Source organism: Homo sapiens, chromosome 13, assembly GCF_000001405.40.
Source record: "Homo sapiens chromosome 13, GRCh38.p14 Primary Assembly".
In the NCBI taxonomy this organism is placed as follows: Eukaryota; Metazoa; Chordata; class Mammalia; order Primates; family Hominidae; genus Homo; species Homo sapiens.
The window spans coordinates 36,953,984-36,972,679 of record NC_000013.11 but is presented as its reverse complement, the minus strand read 5'-3'; the positions used below and the strand labels follow the sequence as shown (position 1 = coordinate 36,972,679).

Below are 18,696 nucleotides of genomic sequence, written 5' to 3'. Positions count from 1 at the left end.
ATCCTCTCATATATCATGACAAGACCTTCTGTGTGTTTAAATCTTTTGTTTTCCTTGTTAGCATTTACATGTTTCCTTTATTTAGATCTTGTCTAAACTTTCTACCTTTCTTATAAACTTTATTTCTAGATTTTTCATTTTTATTGGTGTTATAAATGCTTCGATTATATCTTGTGATTATTGTTCGTACATGTGACATCTAAAGTTTTGTATATATATTCATTTTGTGACTACTCATCTTTTAAAATTCTTTGTTTCTAATGTAGTTTTTCAGTTGCTATTCTTTGATTTTCAAGGTATATAATTATGTCATCTACAGATAACCCTTTTCTTTCTCATACCACTAATTTTTCTCTCAAATAATATAGTATTTTCACACAGAAAATATCATTTAAAGTTACGAATTTTAACATAACGCATGCCCCTTATATTTAGCTCTATTTAAGCAAAATTTAGTGTCCTCTTAGTATGATTAGGCTTCTCAAAGTTGTACATATTCTGAACTTTTCAATAAACCTTTAAAAGATTTTTAATGTCAACTTTTTTAAAATCAGTTTCTAAAAATGAGATATTCTCATTGAAAATAAATATTTTTATTAGTGATATTTAAATATTGAAAAACTATCTCTGCTTTTTCCCTCAGAATCAAATGGCTATAGCATGTGGATCTCGAGCTCATTTAGAAAAAGAATCAATTGCTCAGGTGAGACTTCATTAATTGGCATGGGACAGCCAATTAATTGGCTTTTATTTCTTTTTTTATATATATATCTGGCAAGAAACTGGCTTTTATGTCTAATCTCTTAAACATGAGGTTCCTTTCAAAAGAAATTAATGTTTTAATTGTGGAAAGGTTATGAAGGATTGGCACATTTTAGAATTGATTTTTTTTTAAGCATATACAAGAAGATGTGGACTTCGCTTTGCCTTAGGATGGAAGCAGTTCTTTTTAATATATTTTTAAGATAAAGAGAATCTGTTCAGTAATAAAACAAACTTTAAATTACGCTTTTTTTTTTTTTTTTTTTTTGGAGACGGAGTCTCCCTCTGTTGCCCAGGCTGGAGTGCAGTGGTGCGATCTTGGCTCACTGGGCAACCTCCACTTCCTGGGTTCAAGCAGTTCTCCTGCCTCAGCCTCACAAGTAGCTGGGACTACAGGCGCACACCGCCACACCTGGCTATGATTTTGTATTTTGGTAGAGACAGGGTTTCACTGTGTTGCCCAGCCTGGTCTTGAACTCCTGAGCTCAGGTAATCCGCCTGCCTCAGCCTCCCAAAGTACTAGGATTAAAGGTGTGAGCTACTGCGCCCAGCCTAAATGATGCATTTTTTAACCAATCAACTTGCCTTTATTTTTTTCTAACATTGGCACAGTTAAGTGCTTTATTTTGAATTTTATTCAGTTAAAAATTTTTTTTTAACCTCATTCCTCTTAGAAAAACACTATCACTATACCTTAAAATTTCACAAGTTTGCAACTGCCCTTTTAGGGTGTAAAAATGTCACTAAAGATGTTCAATTCTTCATTTTGTAGGTTATGCTAGAAAAACTAGAGTAACAATTTCCCAGGTCCCTCTTACGCACATGAGGCTTTGAGAACCAGTAGAATAAAAGGTTGAACCTTTCCCCCAATGATTCGGAAGAGAGATATGTAGAAATTTTAATTTTTAAAAAAGGTATATTGATGACAGAGTGACAAAAACCTTTTAAGGATTATATTGAAGTACAAAAACCCAGACTCTCTTTTTATTTTTTGTTTATTTATTTTTGAGACAGAGTCTCGCTCTGTCACCCAGGATGCAGTGCAGTGGCGCAATCTTGGCTCACTGCAACCTCTGCCTCCCGGGTTCAAGCAATTCTTCTGCCTCAGTCTCCCAAGAAGCTGAGATTACAGGTACACGCCATCATGCCTGGCTAATTTTTGTAGTTTTAGTAGAAGAGGTTTCACCATGTTGGCCAAGCTGGTCTCAAACTCCTGACCTTAGGTGATCCACCTGCCTTGGCCTCCCAAAGTGCTGGGATTACAGGCATGAGCCACCACGCCCGGCCTTCTTTTTTTGTTTGTTTTTTTTGTTTTTATGAGACAGAGTCTAACTCTGTCACCCAAGTTGGAGTGCAGTGGCGCAATCTCGGCTTACTGCAACCTCTGCCTCCCGGATTCAAGCGATTCTCCTGCCTCAGCTTCCCGAGTAGCTGGGATTACAGGCGTGCGCCACCACACCCAGCTAATTTTTGTATTTTTAGTAGAGGCAGTTTCACCATTTGGTCTCGAACTCCTGACCTCATCATCTGCCCTCCTTGGCCTCCCAAAGTGCTGGGATTACAGGTGTCAGCCACCACGCCTGGCCTCTTCTCTTTTTTTTAGAAGTAATTATTTTACTAGCACCTAGTCTAGTATTCTATGTATCCTAGAGATTCTCACTGATGTTTGAAAAAGGTTAATCTGTTAACCATAGAGAATAGCACACTCCTAGATATTTAAAATGGGAAGAGAGCTTAGAATTAATCCTGCTTCATCAGTTTAACAACGCACGGGGGATAAGAAAAGGAAAAGTATGTGTCTAAGATCTTCAGCACATTTTATATATATGTGTGTATAATTATAAAATAGTATATATATGTATAATTATAAAATAGTATATATATAAAATTGTAGTAGAAACTATTAAATACTAAATTCCCACAATAGGAAATACAGCTATAGCCCTAGATGAAATGTGCAGCCAGTAAAGCTGATGATAATGGAGACTATTTAATAACATGGGATAAAACCTGAAATATTAGGTTGTTTGTAAAAAATAGTATGATATTATAAATACAGTTATCTGTGTTGAAATAACAAATAGGCTGGACACAGTGGCTCACACCTGTAATCCCAGCACTTTGAGAGGCCGAGGCAGGCGGATCACCTGAGGTCAGGAGTTCAAGACCAGCCTGGCCAACATGGTGAAACCTCATCTCTACTAAAAATACAAAAACTAGCTGGGTGTGGTGGCGCCCACCTGTAATCCCAGCTACTTGGGAGACTGAGGCAGGAGAATCACGTGAACCCGGGAGGCAGAGGTTGCAGGTGAGCTGAGATCAGGCCACTGCACTCCAGCCTGGGCGACAGAGTAAGACACCTCCTCCTCAAAAAAATAAATAAATAAATAAATAAAATAAATAAAAATTTGTTTTTGCACACTAAAACAGCTAATGAAAATAGATCAATACTAATTTAATGGTTTTTTAAGTACTTTTTTTCTTTCTTTTTTTTTTTAAAATATATTAATGAGATGAGAAAGGATAATCTACTTGGTGAAGGAAAAAAGATAGTTTGGAAAAATAGCCAAATACACTTAGGAGCCAGTGAGTAATATAGGCAAGAGATAGTTCTTGTATTTGTTGGTGGTGGCTGTAGAAAGGAGCCATGTGTTTTGGTTTTGTTTTTCATGGTGTAAATTCTTTTCACTTAGAACTTGCATTGGTTGAAAACTCTGAATTTTTCCTAGAAATACACTAGTATTTAAATGAGACTTATGCTATGGTCTAAATCTTTTACCTAGTACTGCTCTTAGCCAGGTATCAAGGGATCAATCGCAGGAACCACATATTTATAATTCATCTTGTCTCCATCCATCCATTCTTTCAGCTCTAAAACCAAGTGTTTGGTTTAGTGTTCTTGATTCCCACAGAATTGGCTGCCATTCTATAGAAAGAAGGGATAACCTTTGATACTCACTAGAGATCATTGGTTGTCCGCTGCAGATGCTATGACAACTACTGCTCAGTAGGCTTGTTCAAGTCCAGCTTATTCTTATAGAATCATAGCTGTCTCACAAAAGGTTGTCTCCAAGAAGGCACAAGACATGCATCCGCCTCATGTCTAGAAAACTGCAGCATGGCTTTCCATTTCCCTTCGTGTGCTGTCAGTAATAAACCCCTGCATGGTGATCAATCTGTGGACAATGAGAAAATTATAAAAGAACTAATCAAGATAGCAAATGACAACTTCGGTAGCTTATTGCCTAATGTTCAGAAACATCTTTCCTTGATATTTTTCTACATTTCTCAATTATTCTACCACCTCTTTTACTGCTCCCTTGGAAGACAAACATGACACTGCCCTGATAGAGTCTTGTATCATCCTTAAAAGTGCTTACATTCCCATGTGTTCTGTATAACGGTAATGTTTATATATGGTCTGGCTATTCTTGAATTTATCATTTTAAAAGGATTCAAAAATAGAATCCATTAGTGGTTACTTAATGTTTTTAGTTTTTGTTTAAAGAGTCTTTGCTTAAGTCCTGGGACTTCTTTGAACTTCTTATTTTAAGTTAATGAAATTAGAAGTCACCTTTAAATTTCACCTGAATTAATTTCTTGTTTACATTTTATAAACATTGAAGATACTAGCGTTAACACTGAAACAGTGAAAATTGTTTTCCTTAATGTTTTAAATGGCCATTTCAGAAGATCATATAAGCCTTCTCTCTTTTAGTAGCTTCACTTAACTAAATAAGTCTATCCTATATTTTAGGTATCTTCTAAATTTTAAGATATTTTGCAAAGTTCTAAAAACAAAAACAAGATTATCTTGTTTGTGACTAACCTTGTTAAGCTTTTAAATATGTTAGAAATCAAATAACTTAAGGTCTTCATGTGAACTCTACATTTTTCTGCTTTTTAAAAAATAGCCATTATCCTAAAGCAAACAAAAATCCTGTTATTAACATCCAAGCCAGAGCAGTCATGAATAGTTTTATTTGCGAACAAATAAGCTCACTCAAATCACATTAAAAATCACTCAAGGAGAATAATTTATAGGTATTGTTTTTCTACCTTTAATTTTTATTTTTCTATCTTTCAATTTCTATTTGTTCCTTTCCTAAGCATAAGTGCTCTTTTGGAGGTTTAATCAGTCAACCAGTATTTATTGGAAGTATTTTGTATGGAAGGCACTGAGCAAGCTGTTGTGAGATTCCTAAAGTATTTTAAGATGAGGTTTCTGCCCTATCTACTTAGAGAGGTAAGACATATTTACATCAACCCATAACTAATGATTCTAGATGATAAATGAGAAGTGCTAGATCATTTTTAAAAGTTTGTTTTACATACCATATAGATAAGTATTTTATTCTTCCTTTCCTTCCTGCCCTATTTAATACATAAGTAAAATTGTGGTCAGGAGAGTAAAGTAAGCTTTCAAGCTTTCTTCCTGTATGAAGAACATTATTGAGTTCCTGTTATTTTCTGTGCCAAACACTTCGCTATATTCTTTAAAATAATCTCATTTAATCCTTATAATAACTTTGTGAGGTAGGCATTATTCTCATTTTATCAGGAAATGGACTTAGAGGGCTGAAGTAACTTGTTGAAGGTCACCCTGCTAATTAGTAACGGAGCCAGGATTCCAATATAGGCCTCCTAGTTTGGTGCTTTTTCTTTTCTTTTCTTTTTTTCTTTTTTTTTTTTTTTGAGTTGGAGTCTCACTCTGTCACCCAGGCTGGGGTACAGTGGCGCCATCTCGGCTCATTGCAACCTGTGCCTCCCAAGTTCAAGCGATTCTTCTGCCTCAGCCTCCTAAGTAGCTGGGACTACAGGCGTGTGCCACCATGCCTGGCTAATTTTTGTATTTTTAGTAGAGATGGGGTTTCGCCATGTTGGGCAGGCTGGTCTTGAACCCCTGACCTCAAGCAATCCACCTGCCTCGGCCTCCCAGAGTGCTGGGATTACAGGTGTGAGCCACCGCACCTCGCCTGATTTGGTGCTTTTTCTTTGTTACTCTGTTCCACTGTGGTTCTGTTTGGTGTTGATGGAAAAAGCCATGCAAAGGAAGAACGATACTAAAAATTATAATTTTGAAAAGCAAAAGCCAAAAGGAGGAAGGGACCTTTATCCCATAGTATGAGATATTAAATGTTCTAATAGACTCTTAATAGGTTGCTTATGTATGTAAGTAACGCATCATTACTTGAGTCTATTGCCTTAACTAAGGAACATTTTAAAAGATCGTGTCTTAAAGAAGCTGGGTATAGTGGCACACGCCTGTGATCCCAGCTGCTCTGTAGGTTGAGGCAGAAGGATCACTTGATCCCAGGAATTTGAGGCTGCAGTGAACCATGACCACACCACTGGACTCTAGCCTGGACAACAGAAGGCGTCTCTGTCTCTAAAAAAAATTTTGTTATTTTATTTTTTAGAAAGATCCTATCTTTTACTAAATCTTAAATGTGAAAGTCTGGAATCCAGTGATAATAATCTTATGTTCTTATGTTTTAAAATGTGCTATGTTTTATGAATAATGGAATATTCTGTTACTACTAATAAAATTAATCATCAGTAACAGTAGTGAAACTTCAGATGGGATTAAAACCTACTTAATCTTAATATCCAAAGTATTAAAGAACTCAATATTTTAAATGTATTTAATTAGATCTCTGGCATGCTTAGAAAGACCAGGTGTTTGTTTCAAACTCCTTTCTAGTCCATAACCTTCATGATACTCTGCTATACATCTTCTGTCAATATTCTCATTAGTTAAGTATCAACTGCAGGCTTATATCTGTGCTTTGTTTTGTCAATACATCCTGGAAACTGACAGCTTTTTTGAAACTGAAATACATGTGGGGCAAAGCAGCATAAAATATGTAAGTAAACAAGACGTTCTCCTTGCTCACAGCAGCAGCCCCAAACCTGTTTCTCCTGGTAGGCTAAAGCCCTGGCCGCTTGTCTGACTCAACCTCCAGGAAATGAGTAACTGCTTCCTAGTGCCTCTACTCTGCTCCAAGCAGTAGGCATTCTTGCTGTTTCTTTAATATACTTTGTTGGTGAAGCTCATGGAACAGTGGTGTTCTTATGTAAGATCTACCAGTCAATTAAATATTAAAATACAGTTGTCTACAGCCAGGTGTTTTCAGTGTCTCCTTTACAGATGAATGGAAAAGTCATTTATATTTTGTCTTTGTTTTCAGCGTTCTTACTTCCGTACTCTTCTCATGTATGGGTTCCACTTTCTGGTGTGGTTCCTTTGTGTCAAAGGAATCAGGGACACACAGTGTGGGTTCAAATTATTTACTCGAGAAGCAGCTTCACGGACGTTTTCATCTCTACACGTTGAACGATGGTAGGTTTCTGACTGGAATGTATCCAGTCTGTCTTATGACCCAGCCATCTTCTAGGTAATGAGAAACAGCCCTGTATATTTATAATGAACATGTAGATTTAAACAAAATTGACAATAATGTATGTAAACTTGATCTTGCCTTTATACTTTTCCTGAGTTGGATCTTATTTTGAAAATACACAAACCCAACAATATGGTATAAAGTTATGTGTGTTCACCTTAATTGTAGACAGTAGAAATTGAGTGGCCTGAAAACATTTTTTTTCCTTTGAAGAAAAAAGAAAAAGCTCAGAAACATCAAAACAGAATAGGGCACCCATTTTCTCTTTTCTTCCTTCTACGGAAGATAAGGTGTCTTTCCTAAGACCGATCTTTTGACCTCTACATCTCCTTCCACCTTGTCAAAACCTAATCCTGTCCATGTATTTCATCTCTTGTGTATTCAGCCTTTTCCCTTCCATCACATCTTTCCCAGAACCCTTTCCATTGACCCTGCTGTGCCCTTCCAGCTCTAGCCCTGTCTCCTTCACAAGCAACCTTCTCTTGAAAAAGTGTTTTATATTCACTGGCTTTGTTTTCTTGCTTCCCACTCACTCCTCACCCCACCTTCTTCATATGGATTTTCTTCCATGCCTCATCATTTTTTTTTTTTTTTGAGTTTCGCTCTTGTTGCCCAGGATGGAGTACAATGGCAGGATTTCAGCTCACTGCAACCTCCGCCTCCCGCGTTCAAGTGATTCTCCTGCCTCAGCCTCCCAAGTAGCTGGGATTACAGGTGGGCGCTACCACACCCAGCTAGTTTTTGTATTTTTAGTAGAGATGAGGTTTCACCATGTTGGCCAGGCTGGTCTTGAACTCCTGACCTCAGGTGATCCACCCAAAGTGCTGCGATTACAGACGTGAGCCACTGCACCCAGTCTACTTCATCTTAACATCTAGCCACCTCTATGTCATTGAAGCCAGTGGTCATGTTAAATGACCACTTGTCACACTTAACCCATCAGCAGCATTTGATACTCCTGAGCTCTCTTTTGAAATATACTGGAGATACAGGTGGCTAGCACTGTTGTACAGAAGCTGAAACCCTGACATCAGCCCTGACATTCTCCACATGCATATATCCAATCCATGACAGGGCCTGTTGATTTTAGCTTTTGTGTTCCTCCATTTCTCTCCATCTCTACCACCGCCATCCAGAACACCATCCTTCTCCATACTACCATGCTGTAGCCCACAAGGTCTTTGCAAACTTAAGTGTGATCAATCATATGCACCTCTTCTGCTTATATTCCTTCATGGGCTTCCCATGGTCTTTAGTCTGGCCCCACCTGTGTCTCCACATGCGGACTCTTTTCTTTTCTAACCACGCCCCTTCTCACCTTCTCCTTCAGATCTTCCTTAGGGTAGCCTGCCCTCACTCTCTAAAGATAATATAATTAGCTCGGGTGCCCCTAATTATATCCTGTTGCAGTGCCATGTGCTGTATTCATAGCACCTATGACATTTGTAGTTTTTTCTTATATTTGTGTAATTACTTAATGTTTCTTTTTCTCGATTAAAGCATAATCTTTCTCCATGAGAGCAAGAGTCACATTTAATTTTACTTATTAGTATATCCCACTATCTAATATCATGCCCAGCACATAGTAGGTACCCAGTAAATACTGTTGAAAGAACTAATACTTAGTCATGGGTTCTGTGTGAATCCTGTTCATGTTGGGTATCTGCATGATTATGCCAGTATATGTCCATTTTTATACTCTCTACAATTTTTGTGCATCTGTTTTCAAAGACCTGTTGTCTTCCTAGAAATATATGCCATATAACCCCCAAAATACTACTTTAAAAAATGTATTTTCAGAATTATCATTCAGACTTTTTAAAATCTTGTTTTTCTAGATTAAAACATTTTAAGTAGTCTACATTAGTTGTCAAATTTAGATATGTGTTTTTATTATGTTGAAAAATAAAATAAACTCATAGTTAATAGACTTCGAAATCAGAAAATCTAATTTAAGAAACGACTCTAGAAGTAAAGCCCTCTGTCTGCATTAGCTATTTTTCAGTCAGCTATTGCTCCAGAACTAGGGTCAGAGATGCAGGTTCTTTGTGGTTTGAAAGGAAGAATTTAGAAATTGAGAATACTATTTTTCGTTGTTGAGGATCTTTCATTTTTGTTGAAATATAAAAGGTTAGGATTGATAACTTAAAAATCATGAAGCTTCCCTGTCAGGATTGTTCTAGGGCAGCATTGTTTAATAGAAATATGAGACAAGAGGCAAGGCATATATGTAATTTCAAATTTTCTATTAGCCACATTTAAAAAGTAAAAAGATGGCTCATGCCTGTAATCCCAGTTCTTTGGGAGGCCAAGGTGGGGAGGATCACTTGAGGCCGGGAGTTAAAGACCACCCTGGAAAACATAGCAAGACCCTGTCTCCAGAAAAAAAAATTTTTTTAATTAGCTTGGTGTGGTGGTGTGCACGCCTGTAGTCCCAGCCACTCAGGATACTGAGGCAGGAGGATCTCATAAGCCCAGTTTAGGCTGCAGTGAGCTATGATTGCACCACTGTACTTTAGCCTGGGCAACAGGGTAAATCCTGTCTCTTAAAAAAAGTAAAAAGCTGATCAGATTTACTTGTTATCCAATATATTTCCAAGATATTGTCATATCACCATGCAATCAGTATGAAAAAAGTTGAACTATTTTACATTATTTTCTTTGTACTATATATTCAAATTTACAGCACATCTCAATTCAGACTAGCCACATTTCAAGTGCTCAGTATCCTCATGTGCTGAGGGGCTGTTGTATTAGACAGCAGTTCTTGTGGGGTTAAGTTAAAGAACATTAATGGGGTTTTTTTCTTTTTTTAGTGTTAATGTTACATGCAAGCCTTTTATTTATTTTGTGTTAATTGACATAAGATTGACCTCACTTAGTGGCTGGGGATGGTGGCTTACAGTGGTCATCCTAGCACTTTGGGAGGCTGAGGCAGGTGGATTGCTTGAGTCCAGGAATTTGAAACCAGCATGGGCAACAATGGTGAAACCTGTCTCGGTTTGTTTTTTGTTTTAATTTTATTAGGGAAAAAACAAGATTCACCTCACTTAAAATTTTAACTGCTCACATTTTTCTTTAGGGTACATTATGTTTATTTGGTGCCTCTAAAGGAGAACCACCAAGTATACATGTATCAGCTTAATGAGCAGTATACCCTTCACCACAATAATACGTCATCAGTGGTTTTTATTTAAACATCTTTGTTCCTGCACTTTAAATCAAGACTAAAGAACAATATAAGTTACAGAAACCAAGTTGTATATCTATGCCTTATTTCCAAATGTCACCTTTGACATTTGACTATTTTTTCTTAAGGATTCATTGAAATTTTTCTCAGAACTTTCAAGAAATCGAAATCAAATAGAGTTTCTAGGTACTAGAAATCTGTAAAGGAGTATACCTAAAATTAAGACTTTTGGTATCGGCTGGGCGTAGTGGCTCACGCCTGTAATCCCAGCACTTTGGGAGGCCGAAGCGGGTGGATCACTTGAGGTCAGGAGTTCAAGACCAGCCTGGCCAAAATGGTGAAACCTCGTCTTTACTAAAAATACATTTTTAAAAATTAGCCAAGCGTGGTGGTAGGCACCTGTAATCCCAGCTACTTGGGAGGCCGAGGCAGGAGAATTGCTTGAACCCAGGAGGCAGAGGTTGCAGTGAGCCGAGATCACGCCACTGCACTCCAGTCTGGGTGACAGAGTGAAACTCTGTCTCAAAAAAAGACTCTCAGTATCTCTTTGGATTCAGAACTGCAGAGTTGAGTATAGGTATGTTAAGTATATATATTCAAATATTAATATAAATTAAATGGGTATGTTAAAAACAAAAATAGATTAAAAAATTTTAAGTAATGTAAATTTGGCCTTCAAATTCAGATACATATATATACAGTTGTCTCTTGGTATCCACAGTAAATGAATTCTAGGAACATCACCCACAGATACCAAAATCTGTACAGATGCTCAAGTCTTTGCTATAAAATGGTGTACTCTTTGCATATAACCTATGCACATACTCTCATATACTTTAAATCATCTCTAGGTTACTTATACCTCATACAAGGTAAGTGCTATGTAAATAGTATGTGTTTGTTTTTTGTTGTTAGTGTTTTGGAGACAGGGTCTCATGTCACTCAGGCTGGAGTGAACATGGCTCACTGCAGCCTCTGCCTTCTGGCCTTAGGCGATCCTCCCACCTCAGCCTGCTGAGTAGCTGGGACTACAGGTGCATGCCATCACGCCCAGCTAATTTGTGTATTTTTTTGTAGAGACAGAGTTTGCCACATTGCCAGGCTGGTCCCAAAATCCTGAGCTCACGTGATCCTCCCACCTCAGCCTCCCAAAGTGCTGAGATTACAGGCATGAGCCACCGCACTCTGCTTGTATATTTTATTTGTATTATTTTTTATTGTGGTTTTCTACTGTTTATTTTTTAATATTTTCAGTCCATGATTGGTTGAATTTGCGAATGTGGAACCCATGGATATGGAGAACCAACTATGTATATAGCTTCATCTTCAGAGCTGTACTTCACCTAAATTCTTTCCATTTATGGAAGTTAAAATACTTGGGCCAGGTGTAGTGGTTCACACCTATAATCCTAGCTCTTTGGGAGGCTGAGTTGGGCAGATCATTTGGGCCCAGGAGTTCAAGACAAGCCTGGGCAACATGGCAGAACCCTATCACTACAAAAAAAAATACAAAAATTAACTGGGCATGGTGGTGGGCACCTGTAATCCTAGCTACTCAGGGCACTGAGGCAGAAGAATCACTTGAACCCGGGAGGTGGAGATTGCAGGCAAGACTCCATCTAAAAAAAAAAAAAAAGCAAATTATTAGCTAGGCGTGGTGGCACATGCCCATAGTCCCACCTACTCAGGAGGCTGAGGCAGGAGGATAGCTTGAGCCCTGAGGTCAAGGCTGCAGTGAGCACTTGATTGCACCACTGCACTCCAGCCTGGGTGATAGAACGAGACCCTGTCTCAATAATAATATATATATGTTTTTTTCTTTGAAATGAACTTTGCTTCAATGAATACTTTTTATTTTTAATCAGTGTTATAATTTTATATATTAAATAGTTAGTTTGATAGGCTTAGAATAGTAATTCCTTGCCCCAATTTCCACTCCATAGCTGTGGCCACTTTCAACTGTTTTTTGCTATTTCTTTGTGGTATTTGCATTTGTGTTCAAAATAATGGGTCTGCATAGCTATTTCTCAGTTGTTCAGTTTTAGATATTAATTTCCAAAAGAGGAAATCGATGCTAAGAACTAAAGTTCTCTTAAAGTTCTGTATACCCTCCACACGTAAACTCCAAATACAGTTTTAAAATAATTATTTTTTGTCAGTATTGATAGTCATAGCTGTGTGAAAATAATTCACATTTGAGTGCAGCATGATTATATTACCTTTCTTGTACTACTTTTTGTTTTCCCGAAGGTAATAAATGTTTGGGGTTTTTGTTTGCTTGACTTTACTATGGATCTGTTACTTACTCATGTTCAGGCTCTCAAGAGTATAATTATCCCTTACTGTGTTTAAACACAGATTCTGCATTTCTTCATTTTTGCTGGAGACATCTCAGTCAGCTCATGTCTTTCTGCTTGCTCTCTGGCCTGTGATACAGCTTGCTCCATCCTCTATCTCCATTTCCTTATTTATACCCCCATGTTAGTAAAGCACATTCCTCTATTAACTTTCTAAAAATATGAGAAAGAAACTTTTTGATTCCTTGCATGTGAAAAAAAAATTGATTCTACCCTCACATTTGTTTTATAGTTAGGTAGAGAAAGGATTATAGTCATTCAAAATGGAAATTTTTCCTCAGAATTCTGGAAACATTCCTGTATTGTCTTTGGCACTCCATACTTCTGTGAAGGAGTCCAATTCTGAATCTTGACTCTTCGCATGTTGTTTCCACCCCCTTTTGGAAGCTTTTTCTCCACAGTGTTTTGAAATATTATAATTCTAGGCCTTAATGTAGTTCTTTTTCATGCATTTTGTTGAGTATTCAGTAGGTCCTTCTAATTTTTTGTAAATTGACAAATTATAGTTGCATATGTTTAGGATACAAAGTGATATTATGATTTATGAATACAATGTAGCATAATTAAATCAAGCTAATTAATGTACATCCTTTTTTTGTGGTGGGAACATTTGAAATTTACTATCTTAGCAATTTTGAAATGTACAACACATTATTATTAACTATAATCACTACATTGTATAATAGATCTCCAAAAAAAAACCTTATTCCCCCTGTCTGAGGCTTTGTACCCTTTGACCATCATCTCCCCATCTCCCCACCCAGCCTCAGGAAACCACCATTCTACTCTCTGCCTCTATGTGTTTGATGGTTTTAGATTCCACATAAAAGTGAGAGGATATGCAACATTTGTCTTTCTGGATCTGATGCTTATTTCACTTGGCATAACTTAGCATAATATTCTCCAATTCCATCCATGTCACAAATGACAGAATTTCTTTTTTAAGGCTGAATAATATTTCTTTTTTTTTTTATTTTATTTTGTTTGCAGTTGCAAGATTTAATAGAGTGAAAACAGAGCTCCCATACAATGGGAGGGGACCCAAAGGGGGTTGCCACTTCCTGCTCGAATGCCTGGGTTTATAATCCCGATCATTGTCCCTCCCCCTGTGCTCTCAGGCGATATATGATTTGACTATTTCTTTACCTCCTGCTTTAGCCTAATTTGTATTTCAGTGAGCCCTCTTTACAACCTGATTGGTTGGGTGTGAGCTGAGTTACAAGCCCCATGTTTAAAGGTAGATGCGGTCACCTTTCCCAGCTAGGCTAAGGAATTCTTAGTCGGCCTAGGAAATCCAGCTAGTCCTGTCTCTCAGTTCCCACTCTCAACAGGAAAACCCAAGTGCTGCTGGGGAGACCACCGCTCTAACCGCTTCCTGCTGAATTGGGGCGTAGTAGGGGTCATGCAGTTGAGATTTCCTCTGGAGGGGTGCCTTCGATGCCATCAACATCGGAGCATGGGCTAGCAGGCCAGTCCAGGGGTCCATGGTAGATCTTAGTCATGCACTGCATCTGGGGCTCCATTTGAAGAACCACTTGTAGTTTTACAGCTTCAATTCTGGAAGAGACAAACTTAACAAGGAGGTTAAAAATACAGGGATTGAAATGTATGGCCTGAAGTGCAGGGGCATATGGGTGTGGGCAGTGAAAGTGGGGTTTCCTTTAGAAAAACTCCTATACATTGGGGCATCAGTATTTCCAGGAAGCCACATTCTCCATAGAAGCTCTTGGTAAGGAGAGCTAGTGGTGGTACAGCGGCATGGAGGGGGTGCGGTGAGAGTGAAAGGGGGTAAGAGAACAGTAAGGAGGAAAATATGACAAGGGAAGGCCATGGGGATTGGGGATCTGCGATTCTAGTTACTTTCCTCACGGTTGTCGCTTAAAGAGCAGGCACAGATCCTCTAGAGGTTCACAGGAATAGCTAGCGTTGTCTCCTGGATTTTCGGTTTCCTTTGGCAGTATCCAGGGTTTGACTCAAGTGTGATGTATCCAAGACTCCACACCAGCCACTTTAAACGCGGTTGGGGTAGATAAAAGGACTGGATAGAGTCCTTCCCAGGATGTATCTAGGGATGCGGAATTAGAGGGAAGGGACTTGACTAATACCATGTCTCCAGGGTGGAATAGTTCCTTTCCCTCTTCTCGGGGACAGGCTTCCTGTAATGTTTTAAGAACTTGTTGATATTTGGCTAAGGAGGTGATGTCTGCAACTAACTTGGCCGTCTCTTGGTCAAGCACAAGGTCATTGGTTAGGAGTGGCTGTCTATACAGCATTTCATATGGGCTAAGTCCCGCTTTTTGGGGAGAGTTTCGGATTCCTAGTAAGGCTGTAGGCAACAGAGCAGGCCATGCAAGATGGGTTTCTTGGGTTAGCTTTTTTAGATGTCATTTGAGTGTTTCGTTCATTTTCTCGACTCTTCCTGAGGATTGTGGCCTCCAGGCGCAGTGTAAGTGATATTGTATGCCTAACGCCTGGGATACTTCCTGGGTTACCGCAGCCTTGAAAGCGGGGCCATTGTCACTCTGTAAGCCTCAGGGAAGTCCGAATCTGGGAATTATTTCATGAATTAGTGCCTTTATTGCCTCTTGGGCCTTTTCTGTCCTACAAGGGAAGGCCTCCGCCCAACCAGTGAGAGTATCTACCCAGACTAGTAGATACTGAAATCCCTGAGATTTGGGCATGTGGGTAAAATCTAGTTGCCAGTGTTCTCCTGGTAATGGCCTGTTCTTTGTTCTCCTGAAGGAGCTTGGCGATAAGGCAGGGGATTATTTCTTTGGCACACTTCACAGGCCCTGACTATCTGCTTGATAGTTTTGAAAAGTCCTGGTCCAGTAAATAACGATTTGGCCATCTGATGGGTGCTATCAATGCCTAAGTGAAAGGTCTGGTGAAGGGTTTTAAGTAATTTCCATTGGTTAGCTGCAGGCAAAAGTATTTTTCCTTCTTCGGTGGCTAGCCATCCTGAGGGGAGGAAACTATGTCCTCATGAGGTGCCTCATTCTATTTCTTCTGCTTAGTACTGGGGCTTCGTTTCCTGGAGGAGATTACCCCATACTAGGGGTCCTTCTATAAGCATTTCTAATGGAGGGTCCCGCCTTGTAGCTCTTTTGGCTTTTTTGGCTTCAATATCTGCTGGGCGGTTCCCTTCTATTTCTCTTTTCTTTCCTTTCTGATGATCCCAGCAGTGTAAGACTGCCACCTCTTAAAGCTCAGCTCGAGCCGTAACAAACACGGACCAGAGGAGTGTGCAGTTGCAAGATGTATTAGAGTGAAAACAGAGTTCCCATACAAGGGGAGGGGACCCAAAGGAGGTTGCCCAAGGCTGAATAATATTTCATTGTGTACATATACCACATTTTCCTTCCCAGTTTTTCTGTTGACAGACCCTTAGGTTGATTGGATAACTTGGCTGTTGTGAACAGCGCTGCAGTGAACATGAGAGTGCAGTTATCTCCTCAACATACTGATTTCAAATCTTTTGGATAAATACTCAAAAGTGAGATTTCTGGACCATATGGTAATTCTGTTTTTAGTTTTTTGAGGGACCTCCATACACTTTCCCATAATCACTATACTAATTTACATTCTCACCAACAGTGTACAAGGTTTCCCACTTCTCCACCTCCTCACCAGTGCTTGTTGTGTCATCTTTTTTATAATGGCCATTCTGACAGGGGCTTTAATTTGCATTTCCTTAATGATTAGTGATGCTGAGCATTTTTTCATATATCTCTTGGCCATCTGTATGTCATCTTTTGAGAAATGTCTATTCAGGTCCCTTGCCCATTTTTTAATCAAATTAATTGTTTTCTTTCTATGGAGTTGAGTTCCTTGTATATTTGTGATGTTAGCCCCTTATCAGATATATGGCCTACAGATATTTTCTCCCAATCCATAGGTTGTCTGTACAGTCTGTTAGTATTTCTTTTGTTGTGCAGAAGCTTTTTAGTTTGATGTAATCCCATTTGTCTGTTTTTGCTTTTATTGCCTATGCTTTTGGGATCCAATCTAATAAAAAACACATGGCCCAGACCAGTGTCATTTAGTTTTTTCCATATGTTTTCTTCTAGTAGTTTTACAGTTTCAGGTCTTACGTGTAAGTGTGTAAGTCTTTAATCCATGTTGAGGTTTGTTTTTGTTTTAGTTTTTTGATATAAGGGTCCAGTTTCGTCCTTCTGCATAGGGATATCCAGTTTTCCCAACACCATCTATTGAAAAGTCATGTCCTTTAGTTCTGAGAAATGTTTCTTAATCTTTTTTTTTTTTTTTTTTTTTTTTTTCACAATCTCTGTTCATTTTCTCTGCTCTCTTACAAACAGATGTGGAACCTCCTTACTAGTCCTGTAATTTTATCTTCTCTCTTCTTTTCTAGTTTTGATCTTTTGAGATTTCCTCAATTTTATTATCCAATCTTCTTTTTGAATTTTTATCTCTGCTATCAAAATTGTAATTTCCTAGAACTCTTTTTTTTTGTTTTTCAGTATTAACTTTTTAAAAAACCTATTCTTGTTGCATGACTACAGTGTCTTCCACTACCTCTGAATATCTTATTTAAAACTTTGTCATTTTCTTTACCTGCATTGTTTCTGTTGCCTCTGATTTTGTGTTTCTTTTTAACACTCATTCTTCACATGTCTATAGTATGGCACTAAAACACTCAGTAGAAGCTGTGTCCATGCGCAGAGCCTCTGATTGGTAAATTTCGCTACAGGTTAAACCAGCAGAGCTACGTGTGAGAAAGTCCCAACTGGCATTGTCTTTTGGACAGGTCATTTTCATGAAAGTAGAGTCCTTCAATCTCCTGCCTAGGAGCTGTGAGCCTGGCTGTTAGCATTCACAGAACCAACAGAGAAAAGGCATGAAGGGAAGGAAAATCTTAGATGTTCAGTGAGTCCTACTTGCAGCCCCACCTGTGTCTTCACCTGAAGACATCAGTTGAGGCCTTCAATGCCTGAGCCTCTGGGGTGCTCTGTGGCACCCTTCTCCCACTGTCCTGTCCATGTTCCCTACAACTTCCAAGGTTTTTTTTATTTTTATTATCATTTCCTCCCATCTTTGTTCTTATATGTTTATTCCATATTGTTGTGTTAATTTTGATAGGGCTGCAGGAGGCAGCAGTGGGGTTCATGTCCATCTGGTGGGTTTAACAGGGTCTCAGCATATTTTTTGTCCTTTAGGAATCTGTTAGTGAGATAACAGCTGTACCAGGAACTGAGTAAGAAAAGAAAACACAGTGGCTCAGCCCAACCCATATTTGCATAAACAAATGAAGGCATCTTAGTTGGAGAATAACCCTTATACTGTTTCCCCCTAATAACATAAGGCTCTGTATAGAAGTACTTGGTATTTTAGTTAAAATGTTTGCTTAGGTAACAGACTGGGCACTTATAATATGATGATATGAGCTGCATTTTTTTGTATGTGTAATAAATGTCTTCTAAAATGTTTAAGAGGAGAAAGACATAATTTAATTTTGGGTCAGACACAGTGGCTCAAGCCTGTAATCTCAGGACTTTGGGAGGTCAAGCCAGGCGGATCATTTAAGCCCAGGAGTTCAAGACCTGGGATACATAATGAAACCTCTTCTCTACAAAAAATACAAAAATTAACCAGGCATGGTGGCACAGAGATGAAAATTCAAAAAGAGGGCTAGATAATAAAATTGAGGAAATCTCAAAAGAACAAAACTAGAAAAGAAGAAGATAAAATTATAGGACTAGTAAGGAATATCTGGGCCTATGCTCCCAGATGTTCAGGAGGCAAAGGTGGGAGGATCACCTGAGTCCAGGGAGGTTGAGGCTGCAGTGAGCCCTGATTGCGCCACTGCATTCCAGCCTGGATGACAGAGTAAGACCCTGTTTAAAACAAACCGAAAAACCCTTTTGGTCTAGGATTTTTTTTTTAATATAAGGTGATTTCAGTTAACCACCCCACTCTTTTTTACTCAATTGTTTTGTGTATTTGATAAGTCACTAGCTATATA

The 18,696-nt window shown here is 38.5% G+C and overlaps 1 protein-coding gene across 4 annotated transcripts in view; it reads left to right on the top strand.

Annotated features, from left to right (window-relative positions):
• The window catches only part of ALG5 (ALG5 dolichyl-phosphate beta-glucosyltransferase), a 49,630-nt gene that overhangs the window by 26,688 nt on the left and 4,246 nt on the right, over window positions 1–18,696 (top strand). For 3 of the 4 annotated variants that reach the window (NM_013338.5, XM_047430283.1, NM_001142364.1), the window contains 2 exons: window positions 644–703; window positions 6,954–7,105. In NM_013338.5, coding sequence (NP_037470.1) covers window positions 644–703; window positions 6,954–7,105 — 212 coding nt within the window. Of the gene's footprint in view, window positions 1–643; window positions 704–4,872; window positions 5,009–6,953; window positions 7,106–18,696 lie in introns of those variants that run through there. The other variant, XR_007063678.1, reaches the window with a different exon arrangement.